The following is a 22,779-nucleotide window of genomic DNA, read 5'->3' on the forward strand; positions in this document are numbered from 1 at the left end:
GCAAGATTTTTGATTTCAGAATGGAACAAAATCAGGTGGTTTTTACTCCTTAAAAATGTTATTTTAACAGACTTACCTCTCCCTCTGGATGTGCTACCCAATGCAATTGCAGCAACCAAGTAGACTGTGCTATCTATATGCTGAAAATTCCCATACTAACATCTTCAGCCAGTCAAAACTCTGGACTTGAATATACAGTTTTCCACTCAACATCTCTGCTAGGCTACCTTGTAGATATTCTAATTTTGAAATGCCTATAAATAGTCTCCAGACATTATTCCCACACCTCTTCCACCCAGAACGTTTCTCATCTCAGTTGATGATAATTGCATCTTTCCAGTTGCTCAGGTCCCTAATTTTCAAGTCCCTTTGACCCTTCTCTTTACTCCCCATGTTATAATCCATCAGAAAATGTTGTTGGATTTGTAGTAAAAATACATCCAGAATTTAACTACTTTCTTCCACTTCCTCTATTTTTTTCACTCAAGTCTAGCCCACACTCACCTGCTACTGTATAATTGCAATAGCCTCTAACTTGTTTTCCTACAGCAGCTCTTAACCATTTTTTTTTTTTTTTTTGAGACGGAGTCTTCCTCTGTCGCCCAGGCTGGAATGCAGTGGCGCGATCTCGGCTCACTGCAAGCTCCGCCTCCTGGGTTCACGCCATTCTCCTGCCTCAGCCTCCCGAGTAGCTGGGACTACAGGCGCCCGCCACCACGTCCGGCTAATTTTTTTTTGTATTTTTAGTAGAGACGAGGTTTCACCGTGTTAGCCAGGATGGTCTCGATCTCCTGACCTCGTGATCCACCAGCCTTGGCGTCCCAAAGTGCTGGGATTACACTGGCCTCTTAACCCTTTAAAATCAGTTTTCAACACAGCAGCCAGGGTAATCCAGATCATGTTACTTTGTTTTATTATTGTTTGTTATGTTTATGTAAGCTCTATAAGACCATTGATTATAGTTTTGTTCATTATGTATCATAAATTCCTAGAACAGTATCTGGCCTATGACTGAACAAATGAATATCCATTTTTCAAAGAGAGCGCTGATACTTAGAGAAAGAAAGAAACTTACTTCCTTAATATCTCATAGGGATTATAAGAATTGAACCCAGGTCTTTGGACCCCACTCTGATGTTCTTTTTCACTATCCTATACTTCCTCCTAGATATGTTGACAGAATCCTCAGGGTGAATATCAAGATTTATTTTGAGGAAGGGTGTTAAACTGACTTGCAGAAGTCTGAGTTCAAGTTATGATTCTGCCCCTAAACAGGCCGAATCTGAGTACCACAATTTTTCACTTGCAAAAGGCAGTTGAACTAAGATGATGTCTAAGGTTCATTGTGCAGCCAAATATTAATAAGTCCAGTGACACTACTCAATATTTCCCAAGTCTTCAATAGCAGCATAAATAACTGTTATTTGAAGGCATCAGCAGGACAAGAAAGCCTACTAAATATGCTACTTGCTTCTTAGATTCCTGTGTATAGCCAGTTCTAGGAACCTTGTAAAGTGGGGCAAGGTTTCCCAAGGCTGATTGCTAACTGGTGACATTTGGTGCAGCTGGCACCCTCACTGGTGATATACGCAAATGTGGTTGTTTGGGTAAAACAGTGTGACATCTAATTATTTATTTTATGTTTTTGCTTTGTGAAATCAAACTCATATCCAAATTAGGGGTATGATGCCTTAAGATTTAGGACAAGCTTTTGTGTGGTTTTTTTAGCTCCTTAGGCTAGAACTCACTGTGTGTATATATATATTTGTGTAAGTATTTGTGTTTATTCATCTACCTCGAATACAATGGGTTTTTTGTCTAAAATACACTTTTCCAATCCCAATTTGCTCCTCATTCCAGCCAAACCAGTTTTATGATGGTTCCTCTTAATCTCCCTTTTATTTTTCTTGATCCTTTTTTCTTCCTTTCTTCTATTTTTCCCCTTCCTTCTTTATCTTTCCTCTTTTTATCTTTCACTCATACTATTTTCCTCAAGAAACGTCTACCCTCTTTCTGACAATGCTAACCCACCTCTATTTAAAGATGCAATTTACTTATGAGAAGCCTTATCTGATGGTTGTACTCAAGTCAGAGCACTGATTATCTCTTTCATCCCCAAAGTTTCTGGGGATTCTGTTTATTACCGTTAATATTTTATGACTTGTTCTTATTTGTTTCTTTGTTGATCATCTCCCTATATAGTCTTACACGTTGTGGCACTCACTAGATTTCAAACTTCTTCAGTATGCTGACCTTGACTTCTGTAACTCTTAAGTTTTCCTTTTCACATTTGAGTACAGGTTTGGAAAGAGTGCAGAAAGCTCCCTAGAAGTCTTTGTTTCAGTCATCTATTGTGTCATAACAAGCCACCCCAAAACGTGATGCTTAAATCATCCATTTTATTGTACTCATGGTTTTGGAGGTAAGGAACTCAGGAATAGCTTGACTGGGTGGTTTGTCTTTTATCCCTATGGTGTCAGCTGAGGCAGTGGGACTGGAGGATATACTCCAAGATGACTTTCATTCACTGTCAGGTGCTATGGTTTTCCTTGGCCTGCCTCTGCCTGCATGGCAACTCACCGTCCAGAGCCTTTCCACTTGGCTTGGGCTTCTCACAGTGCAGTAATCTTGGGGTAATCACATTTCTTGCATGTGATCACACTTCAACCCTGTGCTTTATTGGTCAAAATAATCACAGGGCCTCCCAGATTCAAGGAAGTGAAGAAATACACTCCAGCTTTTGATGTTCAGAATTGGACAAGGTCACATGACAGGAGAGCATGCAGAATGTGTATCATTGTTGAGGTCCCCTTTGAAAAATATAATCTAACTAATCTGCAGAGGAAATTCAACAGTTTCATTTGAAAGTGCATTGGCGTAAAATGCACAATATATACATCGAGGAGTCAAAAATTAGAATGTCTAAAATGAATAAACCAACCACTTTAGACCAACCAGCCAATAAACAAACATATAGACTAACATTTTATTAAGAGAATCTGCGCAATTAGATTCTGGTCTCTGGTCCACCTGATAACTATAAAATGATGGCCTGTTGGTGTTATGGTAAACTATTCTTTGATTAAATTGAATGCAATAATCACTAATTATATTGTAGAAGCTCTTGCTGTATCACATATAGTGATGACACCACCCACCATGGTATTCTGTCCATAAATGGCCTTGAATTTAGTTTAAAGTCGAACTTCTTAAGACACTTATGACGTTTTCAGTTTGGCTCTTCACTTTCAGGTGGCATCAATCCCAATCTTACAGTATTCTTTTAAGTTCTGCAAATCTGTAAAACAAGCAAGAAAATGGATTGCATTATATTACTTTATTCACTTAACATGTATCATGTTTAAAATGCTTTGTATGCTATGTGTGATGAAAAGATAGATTTTGGTTAAATTGAATAAAATATTCTAGTTCTATCGAGATCTAAGATTACAATCCTGTGTGTATGTGTATGTGTGCACATGTGTCTATGCATGTATTTTTGTGTATTAGGATTTGAGTGAGGTTGCTGATGTAGGCTATGTAGAGAACTAAACGGCCAGGCGCAGTGGCTCACACCTGTAATCCCAGCACTTTGGGAGGCCGAGGCGGGTGGATCACAAGGTCATGATTTCGAGACCAGCCTGACCAACATGGGGAAACTCCATCGCTACTAAAAATACAAAAATTAGCTGGGCATGGTGGTGCGTGCCTGTAGTCCCGGCTATTCGAGAGGCTGAGGCAGGAGAATCGCTTGAACCTGGGAGACGGAGGCAGCAGTGAGCCGAGATTGTGCCATTGCACTCCAGCCTGGTGACAGAGCAAGACTCTGTCAAAAAAAAAAAAAAAAGAAAAAAAGAAAAAAAAAGAACTAGACAGTCTGTCTTACAGGTTTAAGAAGAACATTGGTATTGACTCACTGGATCTTATTCCCACCTACTAAATTAGAAGTTCTTTGAGGTCAGTACTCAGATCAGTAAGAGAGAGTATTCATCTCTCGTTTCCCCGTGGACTGTGGCAATAATACCTGGCACATATTAAATATGCAATAAATATTGAACACTCAAGCCTTTGGAGTAGAGTTTCTATGCAAATAGAATTGCTCCTGCTGGTAAACTAATACTGGTTTAACCACACTTGGAATTTGAGGTCAAAATAGGCTACTTCAACTTCCCAGAACCTTGAGGAAACTTGTCCCTTAGGGCTGTTTGGCTCATTGCGTTTTGTGTCAGTCTTGTAGTGCCTGATCTCCCACCTTGAGTGAGCCCATTATTTACACTCACTTACCTGCCATCTTAGAAACTGTAGATAAAGAATCTTTTCCAGAGGTCTTGGAATCAAACATCCTTCACTGAAACATTACTGGATATGGAATGAATCAGAAACATGTGGATTAAATTTCTCTGAAAATTTCTCTGGTTATAAAAATTAAGGAAAAAAAGTGTTTGGCCAGATGCATTGTGGGTAATGCCAAACCCAAATTGTATGAAAAATGTGTATGCTGCTTAGGTAAACAAACAAATAAAAAAATAAACAAATTTTATTTCCCTCTTGCCTTGTAAAACCCCATATTCACTGTAAAAACCTTGAGTCAGTTTGAAGCTAGGTTTTATAAAAGGTCTTGCAAAGTTTATGGTTTCCCTCTTTGATCATTGGAGACAAAGAGTTATACAGATAAATCCTTCTGAGAATGCACATAAGCAAGGCTGAAGTTTCTCTATAGATTTCAAAGGATTGAATGAGGTAAGATGTATTGGTAAGATTTATTTGATTTCTGAATATTAACTGGAAATTTCATCTAAAATAAGTTCTTTCAGGAGAGAAGCAGCTGAACCTGAGTCCAACTGTTTACCTTGTTTAAGTTTAACGTGTTTAAGTTAAACTATTCTTAAAATATTCAGGGCTGGGTGTGGTGGCTCACACCTGTAATCCCAGCACTTTGGAGGCCCAGGAAGGGTGGATCACTTGAGGTCAGGAATTGGATACCAGCCTGGGCAACATGGTGAAACCCCATTTCTACTAAAAATATAAAAATTAGCTGGGCTTGGTGGCTGGTGCCTGTAATCTCAGCTACTGGGGAGGCTGAGGCATGAGAATAGCTTGAACCCAGGAGGCAGAGGTTGGAGCAAGCCAAGATCATGCCACTGCACTCCAGCCTGGGTGACAGAGCAAGAAAAAAAAATTCAGAAGCTTGGACATGATAGATGTTTATGAAAAGCAGGAAAATGCCTTTATCATTGCAACAACAAACAGACTTGAAAGTAATTTAGTTCCTAAACCCTATTTAGTAAAAAGGAAGAATGTGAGGGTCAAAATAAACCTCATTGCAATGATTATTGTCATTCTGCTCATCCCTTCCATTAAAATCCTTCAAGCAATTGCTTAAGCATGTGTGTCCTTGTACTCAGCATAATTTAAGAAGAACCATGTGGATATGGTCCCTACTACATAGACTGACATTGGCTAGGGTATACCCTAACACAGAGCTCAGAACAGAAGAAGAAAGATAGTAAGAAAATAAACGGGCCAAAAATATTTCTGTCAGTGGCTGTCGCCCTTTAGTGTGCATTAAGTACCACCTGAAAAGATCATTAAAAATATAGGTTACAAATGTCCCATCCCCTACCCAAAGATTTTGACCTGAACTAGGACCTAGGAACCTGCATTTTCAACAAAGATTCAAGTTGATTCTGATGAAGATTATCGAAGGAGCACAAATGTGAATTTAGCAGGTAAAAGAGAAAACTTACTGAAATTAATATTGAGAAGGACTGAGATCATCCTTCCCCGAGATGGGGGGAGATAAGGGTGCTGACTCTACCTATTTAGTGCCAGTTTGTGTAAATGCTCTTTTTAAATTATAATTATGGACCTCCAGAAATGCATCTGTTCATTCAATAAATATTTATTAAGTGCTAAATATGTTGTGAAAAAATAGAAACATGAATCTATGCCCTCATGAATCTTACATTCTAGTTGGAGGGTACAGTCAGTAGAAAGATAATAAATAAAATAGCTTGTATAATAGATCAAGTAGTGATTAAGTATCAAAAAGAGAATGTGGGAAAATGGGTAAAATTCTTGAAAAAGTGGAGAGAAAAGGCCTAGTTGAGAATGTGACATTTGGGTAGAACTTAAAGAGTCAAGGAAACAGAACAGCCACAGGAATGCCTTAGAAAAAAAGTGTCCAGGCTGGGGAACCAGCAGTTGGAAAGGACTTGAAGTAGAAGTGTGTCTGGGTTAGCAATGGAGTGGGCCATGAAAAGAGCAGAGGACAGCAGGTAGGGGAGAAAGGCTAAACAGGAGGGGGCTTAAAGGATCACAGGCTTTGGCTTCTCCTCTGAATAAGTTGTATGAGAGGCCACTAGAGGGTTTTGAGCAAAGACAAAACTCACATGAATGTTTCCAACATATTTGAAGTGGAAATTAAAATACCAATTCAGTTATTCACTCTGCCTCATTTACAGAGCTCAAGGTATGATACATTTGTGCTGGGGAAATTTTGGATGAATGGTGCTCAGAGAGTGGAAAGGACTGGATAAAATGTGAAAAACCTGATCCTGTCCTCAAAATATACTACATTCTATGTGGGATTATATGAATCATTTAGTCTCTGAACAACTATTATCCAGAGCAGTCAATATTTGCCTCAATTTCTGGAGTTTTAAAGCATGTAAATATGGAGTATTTTCATTTAAACATGAAGTAAATGAGAATTTGGTCATGTTAGAAATGTATCTGAGATCCATGGATTAAAGTATAGGGTGTATATCTGCAGTAGGTGAAATTTCCCATTTCCATTTCCAAAGATTTAGGAGTTTAAATAAACTTAGATAAAGACTTTATAGGAGACATTAAGAACAATAAATCTGAATCACTAACTTTCCTAAGCTAGGGTACAAGAAGATACAAACAAGTCATGTAAAATATCTGGGAATAAAGTGTTTCTGACCTCTCCAACATACTAATTATTCATCACAAGTAAATTATAGTTAGTATTTCATATTATAGAACCTTGGGGTATTTTTTAGTTTTCTAGGATACAGTTGTGCTCATAGAAAACATAATGGTGTTTCAAATTAATAGATAGTGCTCTTGCTGGAATGAGATTCAATACACAAATAAGAGCTGGTGACAGAATTTGGTTAAGTGAGGACTTTTATATGTGTTGTTGCCGATTTTTAATTCTTCCTCAGCAACGTCTTTGGTTTCATCTCCTTTCCAATTAATTAACAATGCCAGGTAAATAGTGTGACTAAATTTTTCTGTCAATTAACTGATATGTCATCTATCACCAGAAGGTATATCTTCAAATACTTGTTCATGACTTATATGTATTTTTTAAGGCACTGTATTAGTCTGTTCTCACACTGCTATGAAGAAATACCAACGACTGGGTAATTTATAAAGAAAAGAGGTTGAATTGACTCACAGTTCTGCATGGCTTGGAAAGCCTCAGGAAACTTACAATCACAGCTGAAGGGGAATCAAACACATCCTTCTTCACAGGGCGGTAGGAGAGAAAAGTGCCGAGCAAAAGGAGGAGAGTCCCTTATAAAACCATCAGATCTCCTGAGAACTCATTCACTAACATGAGAACAGCATGGAGGTAACCACCCCCATGATTCAATCACCTCCCAATGGGCCCCTTCCACGACATTTGGGGATTATGGGAGCTACAATTCAAGATGAGATTTAGGTGGGGACACAGCCAAACTATATCAGGCACTGATTCTTGGATTCTTTAATCTCACATTATTTCTATGTTAAAAAAAAATGGTATTAAGGATGCTGTCTATATTTCATAGATTCCTTGATGTTAAAGATATTAAAACCTACTTAACATTATTCTACTTCAAGAAATATTAAAATAATTAAAATAATATTTAACATAATTTTATGAAGGGTCATAAGAATAACAAATGGTGATTATTTGATAACCAAATATTAAAGGGAAAGTATTAGTCTCATTTTCCAGATTAAGAAATGAAACTAGTTGCTTGCCAATTGCATGTAGCTAACCAATGTCAGATCTGGGTCAAATCTAGTTTATCTCACTTTCAGTGTTGGGCTCTGGAATGTTCTACAAGATCAGAGCTTTAACAGGAGTCAATCTAAGAACTGGTGGACTCTATGATGCATTATCAAAAGCCTTTAGACTAAAGCTAAAGTGACCTATCCAGCTCCACACATGCATTTAGTATAAAATAGGGTCAAGGAATGTTAGAATGGGAAAGAGCATTAGAGAAGGTGGTTCAGCTCTCTCGTTTTAAGATAAGAAATGTGTTTTGTGAGGTTTTTATGCTCCAGCTGCATCCTGGCTCTAGTTTCTTCTTCAAGTTGAAGAAGAACTATTCCCTAACTCAGTGTTCTGTAAGTCATTAAAGCCTAAATTTGCTTGACATGATTATTTGAATTATGCCTCATTGGCATTAAAATAATAAAAAGTCCAGTCTTCTGCTTTCTAAGTCAGGTTTTCTAGTAGCAATCTCAAAATCTTGCCACTTCTGCCACTTTGCTACCCAGCCATTGAAAAACATAAACTTCTGAATTATAAAAATAAAGAATTCAAAGAAAAAAAGCAGTATTTGATTGAGTTGGCTGGGTTTTCTTTACTTCTTTCATATTCAAATGGACAATTTGTACAATTTCCCTTACTTTGATCCTAGCTGCCTACACTACCAAGTTGCAGGCACAAATTACTTGCCCACTTCTTCAACCACAGACTTTGAAGGACTGGGGAAAAAAAATTCAACCATTGTGAAATTTCCATACTGAAAGTGCCTACTTTCAGTTGGTGCTACTGACTTGGACCATATGAGAGGAGGCAGCTCCAGCCAGGGCTGCCCCCAAGCCACTCACCCTGCCAAACCTCTGGGTCCCACCAACATCATTTCCTGAATGATGAAGCTCCCCATGTGTGCCCACTGGCATGCTCTTAGAAGATCAGGAATATCCAATCAGGAATCAATTAATGGGAGAGAAGAATACAACACAGAGCTTTCTATTTAACTTGGAACTATGATAATCACGAAATGGCTCTGGGTATTTTGTGAATCAGATTGCTGTCAAATCCACGTATTTTTTTATTTGGATACACTTCAGTGATTTTACTGTTCTTTGGTAAAAACTGTTTGATGTTCAAAAACCTTGAAGCCATTTAGACCACGTTGTTTCCCTTTTTTCAAATAGAAGTTTGCATTTTGTCCACCACAAAGAGAATGCAAATGCCAAGAGGTCTGAATTCACTTTCAAAGTCCAAACCCACAAACTCTGATTGGCTTTTCATCTTGGCTAGACACATTCCCCAGGGCTCTAGACCTTACATCAAATGGGACAGTATCATGTCCTAATGAGGAGTATAAACTACAAGGTAGATTACCTGAATTCAAATCCCTTGACTGAAACTTTGAGCACATTACCTCATTTTTCTTAGTCTCAGTTTACTTCATCTTCCAATGGGGTAATAAGAGTAAAAATTTCCTTGTATTATTGTATGTGGAGCATTTAGGAACCTGACACATAATACTCAATTTTTGAGAATATTGGGAGAAGTACCATTTTCATAAGGTTTTTTTTTTTTTTTGTATGGGGTATTTTTTTAAATATAAATGAACTGAAATAATCTTTAATAAGACAATTTTTAATAAAAAAGATTAAATAAGCTATTATGCAATGTTATAGACTGTCAGTTTAAAAATCAATAAAAAGTTGTGAATGAAAAATATTTATGCAACAATTTCAGTTCAACATATTGCAATACTGCTGCCCTTTCTTTCCCTTTTCTTCTTTTTTATGCTTTAGCCCAAACTAAAGTCATTCCCATTTTCATTAATCTTAAATCAATATTTTCTTCTTATATCCCTTAGTTCCAATACCCCTGAGTGCATATCAAGGGGATTTGATATTTTTTAGCTTAATTTTAAGAATAATTTTCTCAAGGAAATGTTCTAATAGTGGTGAGAGGCTAAAAGGGAATAGAAACAAGACTCGCAAAGACAAGAAAGCAAGATGAAAGGAGGAATAGGTTTACAGATTCCAGAAAGAATGACCTAGAATATTCGACTGTGAAAATTCCTGTAGGAAGAGGGAGGAGAAATCAAACTTATGTAACATGTGAATGCTACTAAACCATCTGCAATGTTTTAGTAGAATTCACATAGATCCTGATAATAGATGAGTTGTGTAGCTGTGGGGGGTTTTGTGAGAAACTCAAAGTTAGGACTCAAAAATAAAATTGACTTTAGCAGGAGCACTGCATTGGGGTGAGGGGCCAGCAGGTGGGCATTGAGTGTTACATTTACTTCACAGGAATATTAAAGCATGTGATTCATAGAAGAGCCTGAATAAATATATGTCAAGTAAAATGAATAAATGAATGAACAAAAAAACAAACAAAATACAATAATCAAATAGGTGTTAGTAGTATAATGTAATTAAATTTATATTTTTATTTCAAGTATAGAATTGTATGAATAGAATGTTCTGAGACCTGCACCATACTAATAAAAACTGCATTATTAAAATAATATGAGACCAAAGCATACAATACTGAAAGGTCAATATTCTGGACTCTCTTGAATGAGAGGGGAAATAAACTGAAAGTGTCATTCTTTTCCATTCTCAGTTTGTTAGAGGGGATACATAGAAAAGTAAACTGGCTTAATAAATCATCAGTTCCTACCCTTTCTATCCCAGGAGACGCTGAACAGCCCAGAGGGACGGAAGCTACAGAGAGGGCAAAGACCAATTCCAAGGATGGCTTGGAAGGGACAGCCATAGGCTCAAAGGCCTAGAGGCCACATATCTCCTGGTAGCAAAGCCTTCACCTAGGGAATGGTTAGCACTCAGACCATTATTAAACAAGACACATTTGTATACTAGAAAGTGGCCTCCTAGGAAATTTCCCTCATAGAAATTCACTCACCTCAACCTTCCAACCACATAAACCAAAGCCCTTGGACAGGAAGAAGCAGCTGAGGTTCCAGTTAACAGGCCCTTACTTTTCAGCCACTTCTCTATTGACAACTACTCAACTGTAACTGTTTAGGGTTTTTACTTCCAGGCTGTTGTAGGTGGCATTCCCCAGTAGGAGATTTTGAGATGGAGATTAATGTGCAAGACATTTATTAGGAAGCATCCTGGAGATCAATACCGGTGGAAGGGAGAAGAAGAAAACAGAATTCTGTAGAGAGAGAAGTTGAAACGTGATGTTCATACCAGCATAAGAAGGTTTATCATGCTGAAGACCTCAGCATGTCCCGTGGGGAGCTCTGGATGTGGGATGACACTTTAGAGTTGGGGTAAGGTTTCTGGGCTTTTATATACCTGCAATGATTGGGATTGCATGGGAGCTTTTTTTTTTTTTTTTTTTTTTTGGCGTGATCTCACTGCTCACTGCAACCTCCGCCTTCCAGGTTCAAGTGATTCTCCTGCCTCAGCCTCCTGAATAGCTGGGACTACAGGCACGTGCCACCACACCCAGCTAATTTTTGTATTTTTAGTAGAGACGGGGTTTCACCATGTTGGCCAGGATGGTCTCAATCTCTTGACCTCGTGATCCGCCTGCCCTGGCCTCCCAAAGTACTGGGATTACAGGCCTGAGCCACTGCGCCTGGCCTGGATAGGAGCTTCTTTTGAAAGTAGACATGATCTTAGGCAAAGCGTGTTTCTTCAGCTGAGATGATCTTCCAAGAGTGCTCATGGCAGAGGGCCGTGCTCTGGCAGTACTGCCAGCAGCTGGGGAAATAAATTCCTCATTTCTGAAGGGGAATCTGGGCAGCACACCATACCATTCCACACAGGTACTTCCTACGTATTTGTTGCAGTTTCCTTTTGATGTCAAAGTAAACAAATAAAGAACAGTAAAAGTAACTTTATTCCATAAGATGACATTAAATCAGGCGGAATACAATGCTTAGCTACAATCTGCATTGTAGAATCCCAGTTGAACATTTAACTGACATCATGCACTCATTTTATTTTATTAGATGATTTTTGTCCAAAAATTTTATAAGTATTTAGTGGAAAGGTTGGGAGAGATTTTTTTAAATAGGCAATTCTGATATATAAAATAGGGCAAGAATTATTTTATTATTTGATCTGGCATTATGGCAGATATATGTTCTTGGAAAACACTTCCGTTTCTGTTTCCACTTAACAAGATCTTTACCGTACAGTGATTTTCATGCCAACATAAGAAGACACACCAACACATACCACCTTAGAAGTGAACTAGCTTCCAAGTTTGTTGCTAAGCTGATGCTTGGAACTTTGATTTGTTATGTAGATTTGTGCTTAAGTTGATTTAAGTTTCACATAGTTGTTGCTCTATGATGTAGCACTATTGTTGCCAACAGATGGTATTGTTCTTGTAAAATTCTGAGTGAATGATCCCCCTTAGATGATTATTATAAATAAAGATACCTGGAGTTGGTTAATGTCATCTGACTATATATATTTATATATAGTGACTATATTATATATACTGACTATATATTTATAGTCAGTATAGTGACTATATTTATATATACTGACTATATATTTATATATAGTGGTAGAGCAGAGCAATTTAGAGTGGAAGAGGAGATGATCTATTCTCGGCATCTTGGAACTCTTCCGTGATGTCACATGTCACCTGATCACTGAAAGATAAGTAGGGGTTAGTGAGGCAAAATTAGGAACTGAGGAGTATCATTGCGAAAAGAATTTCATGCAAACGCAAGCAGATGCAAAGGCCCTGAAGTAGAAGGAGCCAATGTGGGTGAGGTTTACTCTTTTCCTTAGTTTGGTCCTTTGGTTTCATGAAGCTTAATTAATTTGGAGCATAAGTAGTACTACGGCCTATGGGTTGCTCTTCAGGATCTCCTCTAGTTTTGATGAACTCAGTGTTAATGCTACTGATAACCTTTTTGTTTTAAAGTAAATCCTACAAATTTGGAACCTCACACAGAAGCAGCTGCTATTGCAGATGCTTTTGATTCTGGGGTGTAGGAAGCCCCACTACCCCACACTGTCTAAAGGGGACCTCCTGTCCATTTGTCAGCCTGTCTAAGATTCCTCCATTCAAACCTCATTTGGTTGGCTTTTGAAGGCTTCTTGGTTTTATAGGGAGTCATCATTTCAAAAGAAGATATAGCTGAGGGGTATTATAATTTAGCAGAAATTTAATCTTCCTACAGCTGATCTAACAGGAAGAACCCAGACCCCATAAAAATGGAATGAATGGAATATAAGGAGCCCTAGGGAGATGTGGGGGAGAGAAAGTGGGGGAATCAAGTCCTCAGAGAAGGTCTTGGAAAGAGGAGGAAAAAATATAAAATAAAAATTTTACCTACTTGAGAATTCAGCCTTGGGACTCCCCTAATTTCAAGAAAAGTTTACCAGTGTTGAACCCCGCTATACCTCAAGCAGTTTTCCTGAGACCTTTCTTTTCCCCACCCCCATTCTCCCAGCTTGTGTCCTGGAAGCACCAGCATGGGTCGTGATGCTAAGATTTATAGTGCAGGTAAAAGAATGAATGATTCATCCCTATCTTTACTGCCTTGAAGAAAGATGAAGAAGAAACTGCATCCCACAACAAGCTTTTGTCCTCTGTATTTTAAAATTGACAGAAGTAGCTGATTCAGGCACCCCATTCTCCCTCACTGCCTCTCTCACAGCAACTTAAAGCCTTTTATGCCTATTGCCTTTGATATACTCCATGATTCTTTTATCAACTCCAGAGGCTATATTTTGAAAGTAAGGCCTACATTTTAAATGATATATGGAATGGATTCTAGTGCTGAAATATTTTGGAGCAGTAGCAATGGGCAAAAAGGGTTTTGTTGGTGGGGATTCTGACCAGTTCCTAGGTTGTGTATATTTTGATGAGTATAATTTCCTTGTTAGGTCTTTGCTTGAGGCTGGTTTTGGAACTCAAACTTCACTGTAAATGGAAAATCAGTTTTGCTACAATCTTATTCCTCTGGTTCTCAGTTTTATCATCTGTGACCTAAGGAACCACATGATAGACAATCATAAAGGTTCTTCTGTTTCAGCTTGAATGTATTGGTTTGTGTACTATATGAAAGTAGCTCTGTGGCTGGTTATCAGTACACTGGAGTACTTCCGTAAAGGTTTGGTTCTGTGCTGTTTGTTGTTGCTTGGTAAATCTTTCCCACCACTGTGCAGTCTGTAGGGACTGACGCACTGAAAACACTACATATTAGTTGAAGAAGATGACACAGAAAATGAATTGAAATGCCATTTACTTTCTCAGCTCTGAGAGGAGTTACTTATGTTTAGTATGTTTTATTAAACTAGAGAAGGATGATTCAGTGACCTTGTGTACTGCTTTGATTTTTAAATGGCTTAATGGGACAAAACAGACATAATGCTTCACCCAGTTAGCAAAATGTGACCCACAAGAGTGAACCATCATTGTCAGCATCATTGCCCAGTACTTGTTAGGGTGATAATGCATGAGACACCCCAGGCCCCATCCAAGAACCTGGTAAACTGTAGTCTCCTTTCTAAAAGTGTTGATCTCTAAGAAGGAGAATTATTATTCTATATTTGTATGAGACATAGAAGTTTATAGCACAGTTTTATACTTTCATTTAATCTTGAGAAAAATTTTATTGCATAAATATCATCAAGCCTATAGGTGAGGAAATTGAGATACAGAGAGCTTATATAGTTATTAAGTGGTAGGGTAAGTATTCAAATTCAGATATTTATGTTTTTATATCCAAATGGCAAAATAAGTATTAGAAAATAAAATACTGCTTTCCAGGAATAGAAACTAGAAACAGCAACTAGGAGTTTTGAGTAATAATTTTTAAAAGTCCAAGAATAAGCAGAGTAAGAAGTTCAGTTACTGAAAGTTGGAAGGCATGAAAATGTCCTGCAGACGGTTCTGAATCTTCTGTGAATTCCACATGCAAATGCAGGTGTTGCTTCGGTTGTGTGACTCTGTGAGAGGGCTGAAGCCTGTCCACTTTCCACAATTTCCAGTCACCAAAGAAGTGCATGGGCCACTGTGACATATGTGACAGGCTGTGCAGCAAGCCAGGTGCTGGGAGACCCCTGGCCACAGCTCTTTGTGCTTTTTCTCTCTGTATGTGGGTGAGCAGTGGTGGAACAAATAGTACATTTTTCATCCTAGCTCCAGCTTTCCAGTAGGAGCTTAAGCATAGCTCCTGCTCTGAAAGAGTTGAAGCCTAGAGTAAGGAGGCCTCAGAGTCCAGCCCTCATGTCCCAGGAGAGCAGTTATTTACATATATGCATGCTTCTGTAATTTGAAGCTACACCATTTTGCTGTTGTTCAAAACGTAAAAAAGTCATTTATGTGTAAGATCTTCAGCTGAATCTTTTAAATGTCTGTGTATTTCGAAGATTCATATAATGTATGAACCACATAACTCTTTGTGGGAGAAATGTAAAAGGAGGAGAGTCTATGTTGGAATCAGAGACAAAAGATGGCCTATGCTTTTTGCTGCTACTGCTGCCTCTTCTTTTTCTTCCTCTTTTCCACCTCCTCTTCCTCTTCTTCCTCCTCCTTCTCTTGCATTAGTTTGTTGGAAAATAGTCTATTTGTCATAGAGGTAGGGGTAATTATTTATTTACCTTGCTATTATCATTGGTACAGCTATCACTGTTTGTCTTAAATTGACTTTCCATATATCTGGCCATGTTAATGCATGTATGTTATACAATAGTTTCAAAATCTGATGTTTATTTTCATCTACATTTTCTCTGAGTTCTTTACTTTACCTTAGTTAACTTGAAGAATCTGGCAGATAATGGGCAAAAAAGAGATAATCATTGAGTAAAATTTTTTGACCATAAATATGTAGAATTTCCAGGAGGTTAATACAACAGATCAGCAGATATCTCTGCACGTGTAAGATTGAGTAGAGTTAGGAAAATTGCCCATGGCTATTTCTCCGTGGGGTGGAGGGTTGTAATGGGATATGGGTAGGGATGGAAAGATATTTATTAAACACCTGTCAGCAACTTTCAGATGCATGATCTCATTTAAGCCTTTAACAATTTTAGAAGGCGGATATTCCCACATCATTATACATGTATGAAAAATCAGGCCCCAAGAAGTTGATTTGCTCCAGATCATATCCTTTGTGGTGAAGCTGGCATTTAAACTCAGGTCTGTATGTTTCCAGGTTTGTGTATATTCTTTCTAGTGAATCAGAAGTCTCGGAAAGATATCGCTTAGTAAGGACATTTGGCTTCCTAATGACAGCACATTCATGATATGATTATTAATCCTTTTTCAATTTTTGGAATCCTTGTCTGAGGGGACAGTGTTTACTTCTCTTCCCACCCCTTTCACATCCCTACTTTGCCTCCTTGATAGGTTCTTAGTAAGAGTAAAGAGAAAGAAACTAGCATCATGACATAGAAGTGATATTGTGAGAATGATCAATGTCAGTAAGAGGAAGTGTTTATCTTTCAGTTTGAGGAATCCAGAGGATCTAAAGTCTCCTGAAGCCTTTTCTCATGCCACTCCTGCTGCTCCCATGATGCCTGGTCCTTGGTGATCAGATGTAGGTAGAGTTGGCATCAAGGAAACTATGAGATTTGAGATAGCAGGAAATTTCCAGATGCCCAGCTGAATTTGTTTTGATTTGAGTTGCCTCAAAGTAGACCCCAAGACTAAGCCTTGGATACAGGTAGTCTGTTTAAGAGGTGATCACAGAAAACACAGGGAGGAACTTGGGAAGTGAAACAGGGAAGTGTGAAGAGCCAATACATGGTGCTTAAATGAACAAGTTATTGCTGTGGGCTCACTAGACTCAATTCCACCGAGGACTCTCCAAGAAAGTGAATGGGTTGGGGAGGCTGAGGCTGAGTATTTATTTATCAATTCCTGTTTTGTATTAATTAAAGTTTGACCTGAGAGCTTTTAAGTCTCCTGCAGTTCTAGGTTGTGCCTGTCTTTGGTAGGTCCTTCTTCCAGGTCCCCCTCCCTGAAAACGCCCTCGGGCAAGGTCTAGAGAGGCCCAGGTGGGAAGTTGCCCATTTTTTTGTGTGAATTTTACTGTAGCTGTAAGTGAACTAGACAGCCAGGAAGTATGAAGCAGGGTATCAGCTGCGTCTGTTACACAGGGTTCTATGATGGGAGACTTGATGGGAAAAGTACAGAAGTGCTTTGCTGTATCCATGTGGACGTGTGGGTGATTAGCAACATGACATCTCTGCTGAGGTGTAGCTTGTACTGTAGTCACAAGCATGGATTCTGGAGGTAGCTCTGCATTCAAATCATCTTTGTTACTAGTTGGGTGAACTTGGTTGAGTTATTTAATTTCTTAGTGCTTGTCACCCCATCTGTGTAAAATGAGGATGGTAATAATAAAACCTACCTCAAGTGTGTGGGTGTCAATTTTGAAAGTGAATACGCACAAAGCATTTACAACAGAGCCAGGCACAAAATAAGCACTCAAGCACTCCTTATTTCTGGTCATGATGGAGATGCATATTGCCTTTTAAAATTTACATATGTAGAAAAATCTTCCTAGCGAATTTTTTTCACTAGAATGCTTTCTCTTACATTCCACAACCAAATTCTGCTCTTCCAAACCCAGGATTTCACATATATCTTAACACGTAATCTACTCAAATTTTGAATTCAAATTTTAAGAGGTGAAAGTTTATAAAAGGGCAAAACGAGAATAAGTTTTCAAAACCCGGAAGTGCTGATGTTGCCATAAACAGTCTAGGTACCCTCAGAACTTCACATAACAGCACCCATAGATTCCATCACATTGACAATGATGCATGACAATGACCACTACTGATGGAACATGGGTGAAACTCCCTCTATATTATCTTACCAAGCCTATAGGGTAGATGTTGTCAGCTCAGTTCCTCAGATGAAGAGACAGATTCAAAGAGTTGAAATAGCTTGCTCAAGATCCCACAACTGGTAATTTGTGGGGATAGGAGGCTGACACCAATGCATGTTTTTTAACCACTATATGCAATTAAAACACTGCAACAAACTAAATGTTATCCTCCACTGACATCACTTGAGATACTGTATACTTAGGGTGGCTTTAGAATTGAAGCTTGTGTTGAGTTCCTGCTCCACTATTTGTGGCTTTGGGCATCACTTAACCTTTCTGAACTCATTATGTTATATGCTTTCTGTAAAAGAGGAATAATGGCCTCTACCCCATGACTTATTTTGGGAATTCTGTGAAGTTATCTTAGTATTTTATAGTTTGGTATAATGTAAATTTGATTATCTTAAAGGATAAAATTTTGAAATGAGAGGATGGGAATCTATCTGAATAAAAACAGTAATAAGAGACTTAAATTTCTTTCATAATCAACTTTATGCTACATATTTCAGAATGTCAAATTAAAATTCTTTTCCCCTTTCTTTCCTCTTATTGATTCACTTCACAAACATATATTAAATACTTACTGTACACCAGGCATATTTTATGTGCTAAGAATACAAAGATTAAAGTAATATGGTATGTACATTCAAATTGCTTAAAGTTTAGAATCAGAAATCATAAATTTTCTCAAAATAGTGGCAGAAAAACTATGGTGGTGTGGTTTTATTTTGCCAACCTCTCCTTTTACAAATATTCTGCTTTCTACCTTCACAGAGAAAAAAAACTAACCAACTCACAATTTTATTGGTCCTCTACTCCTTGTTTAGAAATAGTTAAGTGTAAATGCTTTTAAATTAGTTTTGACTGTATGTCAAGGCCCTGTGAGGAGGATATGTGCTCATTTATAGATAGACACTTCTGTCTACAAATTAGGTCCTTTCTAAATGCTGTGAAACATTTAGGTCTTCAAAACTATTAAGAGTGTTGTCTTTGGCTCCAGATAAGCAAAACAAACAAACCCTTTTCCAAGTGGGCACTAGTTCTGCTGGCTTTTGTTGGCTTTTGAAGCTCAAGGAAGCTAGTAGTCTTGAAATGGCTTCTCCCAGAAACTAAGAACTTTCTAACGGGCTTCATTGCTGGTCTCCAGTATTTCTCTTAGGTGCAGATAACAGTGTTTCTATGTTGGCTGTGAATAGCCTTTAATGGTTTCCTGATTTGTGTTAATATTTACACTTGTATATAATTAGTTGTTTATTTACTCATCTTAGGCCAACACTAGCCTTAATATATTAATACATATTTTAAGTATCTTTCACTCCTAATTGATCAGTTGCAAGTGCAAATAGAGTTTGAAAATGTATTTCTAATTTTCAGGGGAAAGTTGATGGACTTTCCTGTTAATTTACTAGTTTTGATGCTTTCCTCTAACCCAGTGGTTCTCAAAGAGCCAGAATGTCCCCTGGATTTTTCTCTCATGGGACATTTGGCCATGTCTGGAGACATTTTTGATTTTTACAACTGCTATTGCTGTCCTGTAGGTAAAGGCCAGTAATACTGCTCAACACCCTACACAGGGCACTCCCCCTAAAGCAAAGAATTATTGGAATCAAAATACCTATAGTGGTGACTTTGAGAAACTGTGTCTAATCTTATTCTTATCTGAAAACTTTGGGAGACATAATAAGATTCTTCAAAGTTAATTCTTCCAGCCATAGTCAGATTTCCCAGTGCCAGGATATGCATAGTCTTGACAATTTACTTTAGTTCATCAGCAAAGTAGGAGAACCAACAGCACCCTACCCAATGAATTGTATTATTCCAAAATAAAACAAATCAGAATTTTGACCTCCTTTTATAGATTCTCTTGCCTTTATTTTAAATATTGTCTGTGTATGTAAGGGAACAACATCATAATCTATTCATTAAGAGCTTTAAAGTGTTAACCTGGCCTTGGCCAGTCAGATAGAAAGGTAGCAGAATAATGAATGCAATAACCTACTGTTAAAGAATTTGGGTGATCCTTGTGAACTACTCACACTTTTTCCAGAAGCTTCTAAAGGTTTTCTCACATTAATACCTTTGCTTATATTATTCCTCTCTTCCTTAAGTATAAAAATTGTATCTGTAACTGAAGGCCCAGTTGTCTGTAGAACACCTCAAGAGAAAGTGATTACTTCTTCCTTAAAGAAAATTTGTGGATTCCAGAATGCTGTCCTCTGACATGTCAAAATAGATATGCAAATATATTCCTAACTATACATATCTTATTTAAGGTATACATAGTCTCTTCAGCTAAATTTTAAACATTTCAACAGTAGGACACTCTATTTTATATCTTTCATTTTTCTCATAACACCTATCTACTGAACATGTAATTAATAGGCATTGAGTATATTTGGATTGGTCAGCCATATCTACGTTTTCCTTTTCTGTGGAGTTAAAGACCATAGTAAAGATAAAGGTATGTAAACCTTTATTATTCCTTAACTGTATAGGAACTGTGTGTCTATAACGTGCTGAATGAAATTATTCACTGTTCCTTCTTATTTCATTACCCCTCAAATGCCATCTTTCAGATTATTTTATTATATTTTAAAGTACCAGAAAAAGATAGAGATAATGTATTAGCTAAATGTAGGAAGACAGAGAGAGAGCCATACTTACTTAAATTAACCTATTTAGTATATTTGAAAACATTTAGATTTTCTGCAGAGTTTTCCCACAGAATGTTCTGTCTTGTTAATGAAAACTCTGGAGGGAGAGAGGTGGAGGGTGAGAGGTGAGGAAAGATAAGAATTTGGATGTGTGTTTCTCACAGGGCAGCAAGTGGTGGGAGACTTTGACCTAGACCCCTAAAGCTTATCTTGCATATTTGTTAATCATGTGGAAGAGGGAACACACAGATTTTAAACTGTTAACCACAACACAAACCACACATGTGAAAGGGTAGGAATGGAACATGAAAGCAAGGTTCCAAGTTTTTCAATTCTGCATTTTTTTGAAAAACTTTTCCTATGTTCATACCATAAAGAACAAATCAAAATGTGATGAGGTAAACATTCTATATAGTCATGCGATGAGATCACAGTTAAATACTAACATATTTCTTTCCAGTATTCCCTTGAAAGTGTTTGCGTCTATTGCTTTCCAGTTCACAAGTAGCTTTGCTCTTCCCTTCTTGGTACTAAAAATTATCTTGGACCGTTCTAGATTTTCTTTTCCAAACAAAACACAAAATTATGTATTGCAGATGTGAATTCTTTAGATTAAACATAGGATCATAGTTTAAGGTTTAAAGATAAGGTATAGCAGTCAAAATGTTTGCAGAGTATACTTTATCAAATATATATCATTTAATATCCCCAATGTGCCTACACTGTTGCCCACTATGCAAAATAATTCTTGTTGTTGTCTTGCTCTTGATAAAATCTAGTTATTTTTAAGTCTCTCTACCCAATATTAACCTGCAAGCAAGCTTAATGTTACTATAGGGATGGAGTCTGATATGCCTAAAAAAATTATATTTGGAAAATATCAATTATGTCTTTTCTCAAACAAATACATTCCTTAAATACAGGAACAGTATGTAAGGGGTACATAGTAGGTCAAGCAAACTTCATATAAACTTTATGTATACTCCAAATACATAATCAGTGTATAATTGAATCACTCAATAATGTAGACAATTGACTTGACCTTAAGACCTGGTTTACTGAGAGCCAGAATTGGGATTATTTCTATTAAACAATAATTCAACATCTCATTCAGGCTTCTTAGTTAGATTCACTGATGACTCAAGACAAATTTCTTTTAAAATGATAACTTGTCCACTATTCTATTGTTTGTATTACAACTATTTTCTACATTATTTACATTATTACATTATTTCTAATACATTTATTTTCTATAAAACATGATTCTGTTTGTCTCTATATTGGAAAAAATCCAGAATGCTATTGTATGATTCAAAATAAAGTCATAAAATTCTGCTCTGAATGTCCCTCTTACAATTCAGAATTTTATGATATTATGCACCTCTTAATTTCATTAGATTTAATATCATTTTGTTGGCTTACATATGTAACAAAAGCCTAGAGAGATACCTGATTCCTAGATGGGCTGGTTGCAGTATTAATGTTTGCCATGTAACAATCATGTTTAAATTAGCCGTTTACGCTGTGTAAGAGCAAGTCGTTTATTGGTGCCTCATCAAATGTGCATTATTTCTCCACTGCTTTTCATAAGATTTCAGCAGCTGAGGGTGTGATGGCTGTGGAGGTGGTCTGGGCCAGTGACCTGAGGACTGGAAAATCATTGACAATCTGATATGGAAGATGGCTACACACAACGTTATCGTTCTTCCTGGCTCGTAAGTGAAGATAAGAGGCTATGGCAGTGAGATTTCCATTTGTTGAAATGTATGCTATAAAAATTCAATGTTTTCTTGCTAGACCCTATCTGTCTATCTATATATACAACCTGCCCATTAGCCACCTCATACATTTTATCAACACTTCATACTTCATTTTCTTCCTTTGACCTCAGGAAGATTCCCAAATCATTCTAAAGCCCATTAGTATCTCTGAACACTCACAAGAAATCCATAAATGATTTCTTAATGGTCATTACTAAAGAAGATTAGGTAATTTTGGATTGGCTAGAAGTCATTTTGTGGAGACATAAAAAAATCTTTAATATGCAAATTCTCTTGTTCTCTTTTGTTAATACTATCATTTTCCCTTTAAGTGTGTAAAAATAATTCAAAATGTTTACCACTCAACAAATCAGTACAATCAATGTGCAAATTCCATTTTCTTTCTCCGTTATTACTTGGGTTTTTAGAGAGAACAAGGTTGCAAAACTACTATAGTTTACAACTAGAGTGAGGAATCTTTCAGATTGACCTCCCTCCTCCCACACTTCCAGATGGTCCCTT

The 22,779-nt window shown here is 37.4% G+C and overlaps 1 protein-coding gene across 1 annotated transcript in view; it reads right to left on the reverse strand.

Annotated features, from left to right (window-relative positions):
- Positions 1-2,382: 2,382 nt before the first annotated feature.
- The window catches only part of TMEM74 (transmembrane protein 74), a 180,745-nt gene continuing 160,348 nt past the window's right edge, over positions 2,383-22,779 (reverse strand). The window contains exons 3-4 of the transcript NR_136411.2: positions 4,285-4,359; positions 2,383-3,298 (exon numbers count right to left, since the gene is read on the reverse strand). The gene's annotated coding sequence lies outside the window, so the exon portion shown is untranslated. The remainder of the gene's footprint in view (positions 3,299-4,284; positions 4,360-22,779) is intronic.

This window comes from Homo sapiens, chromosome 8 (assembly GCF_000001405.40).
Source record: "Homo sapiens chromosome 8, GRCh38.p14 Primary Assembly".
Classification (NCBI taxonomy): domain Eukaryota; kingdom Metazoa; phylum Chordata; class Mammalia; order Primates; family Hominidae; genus Homo; species Homo sapiens.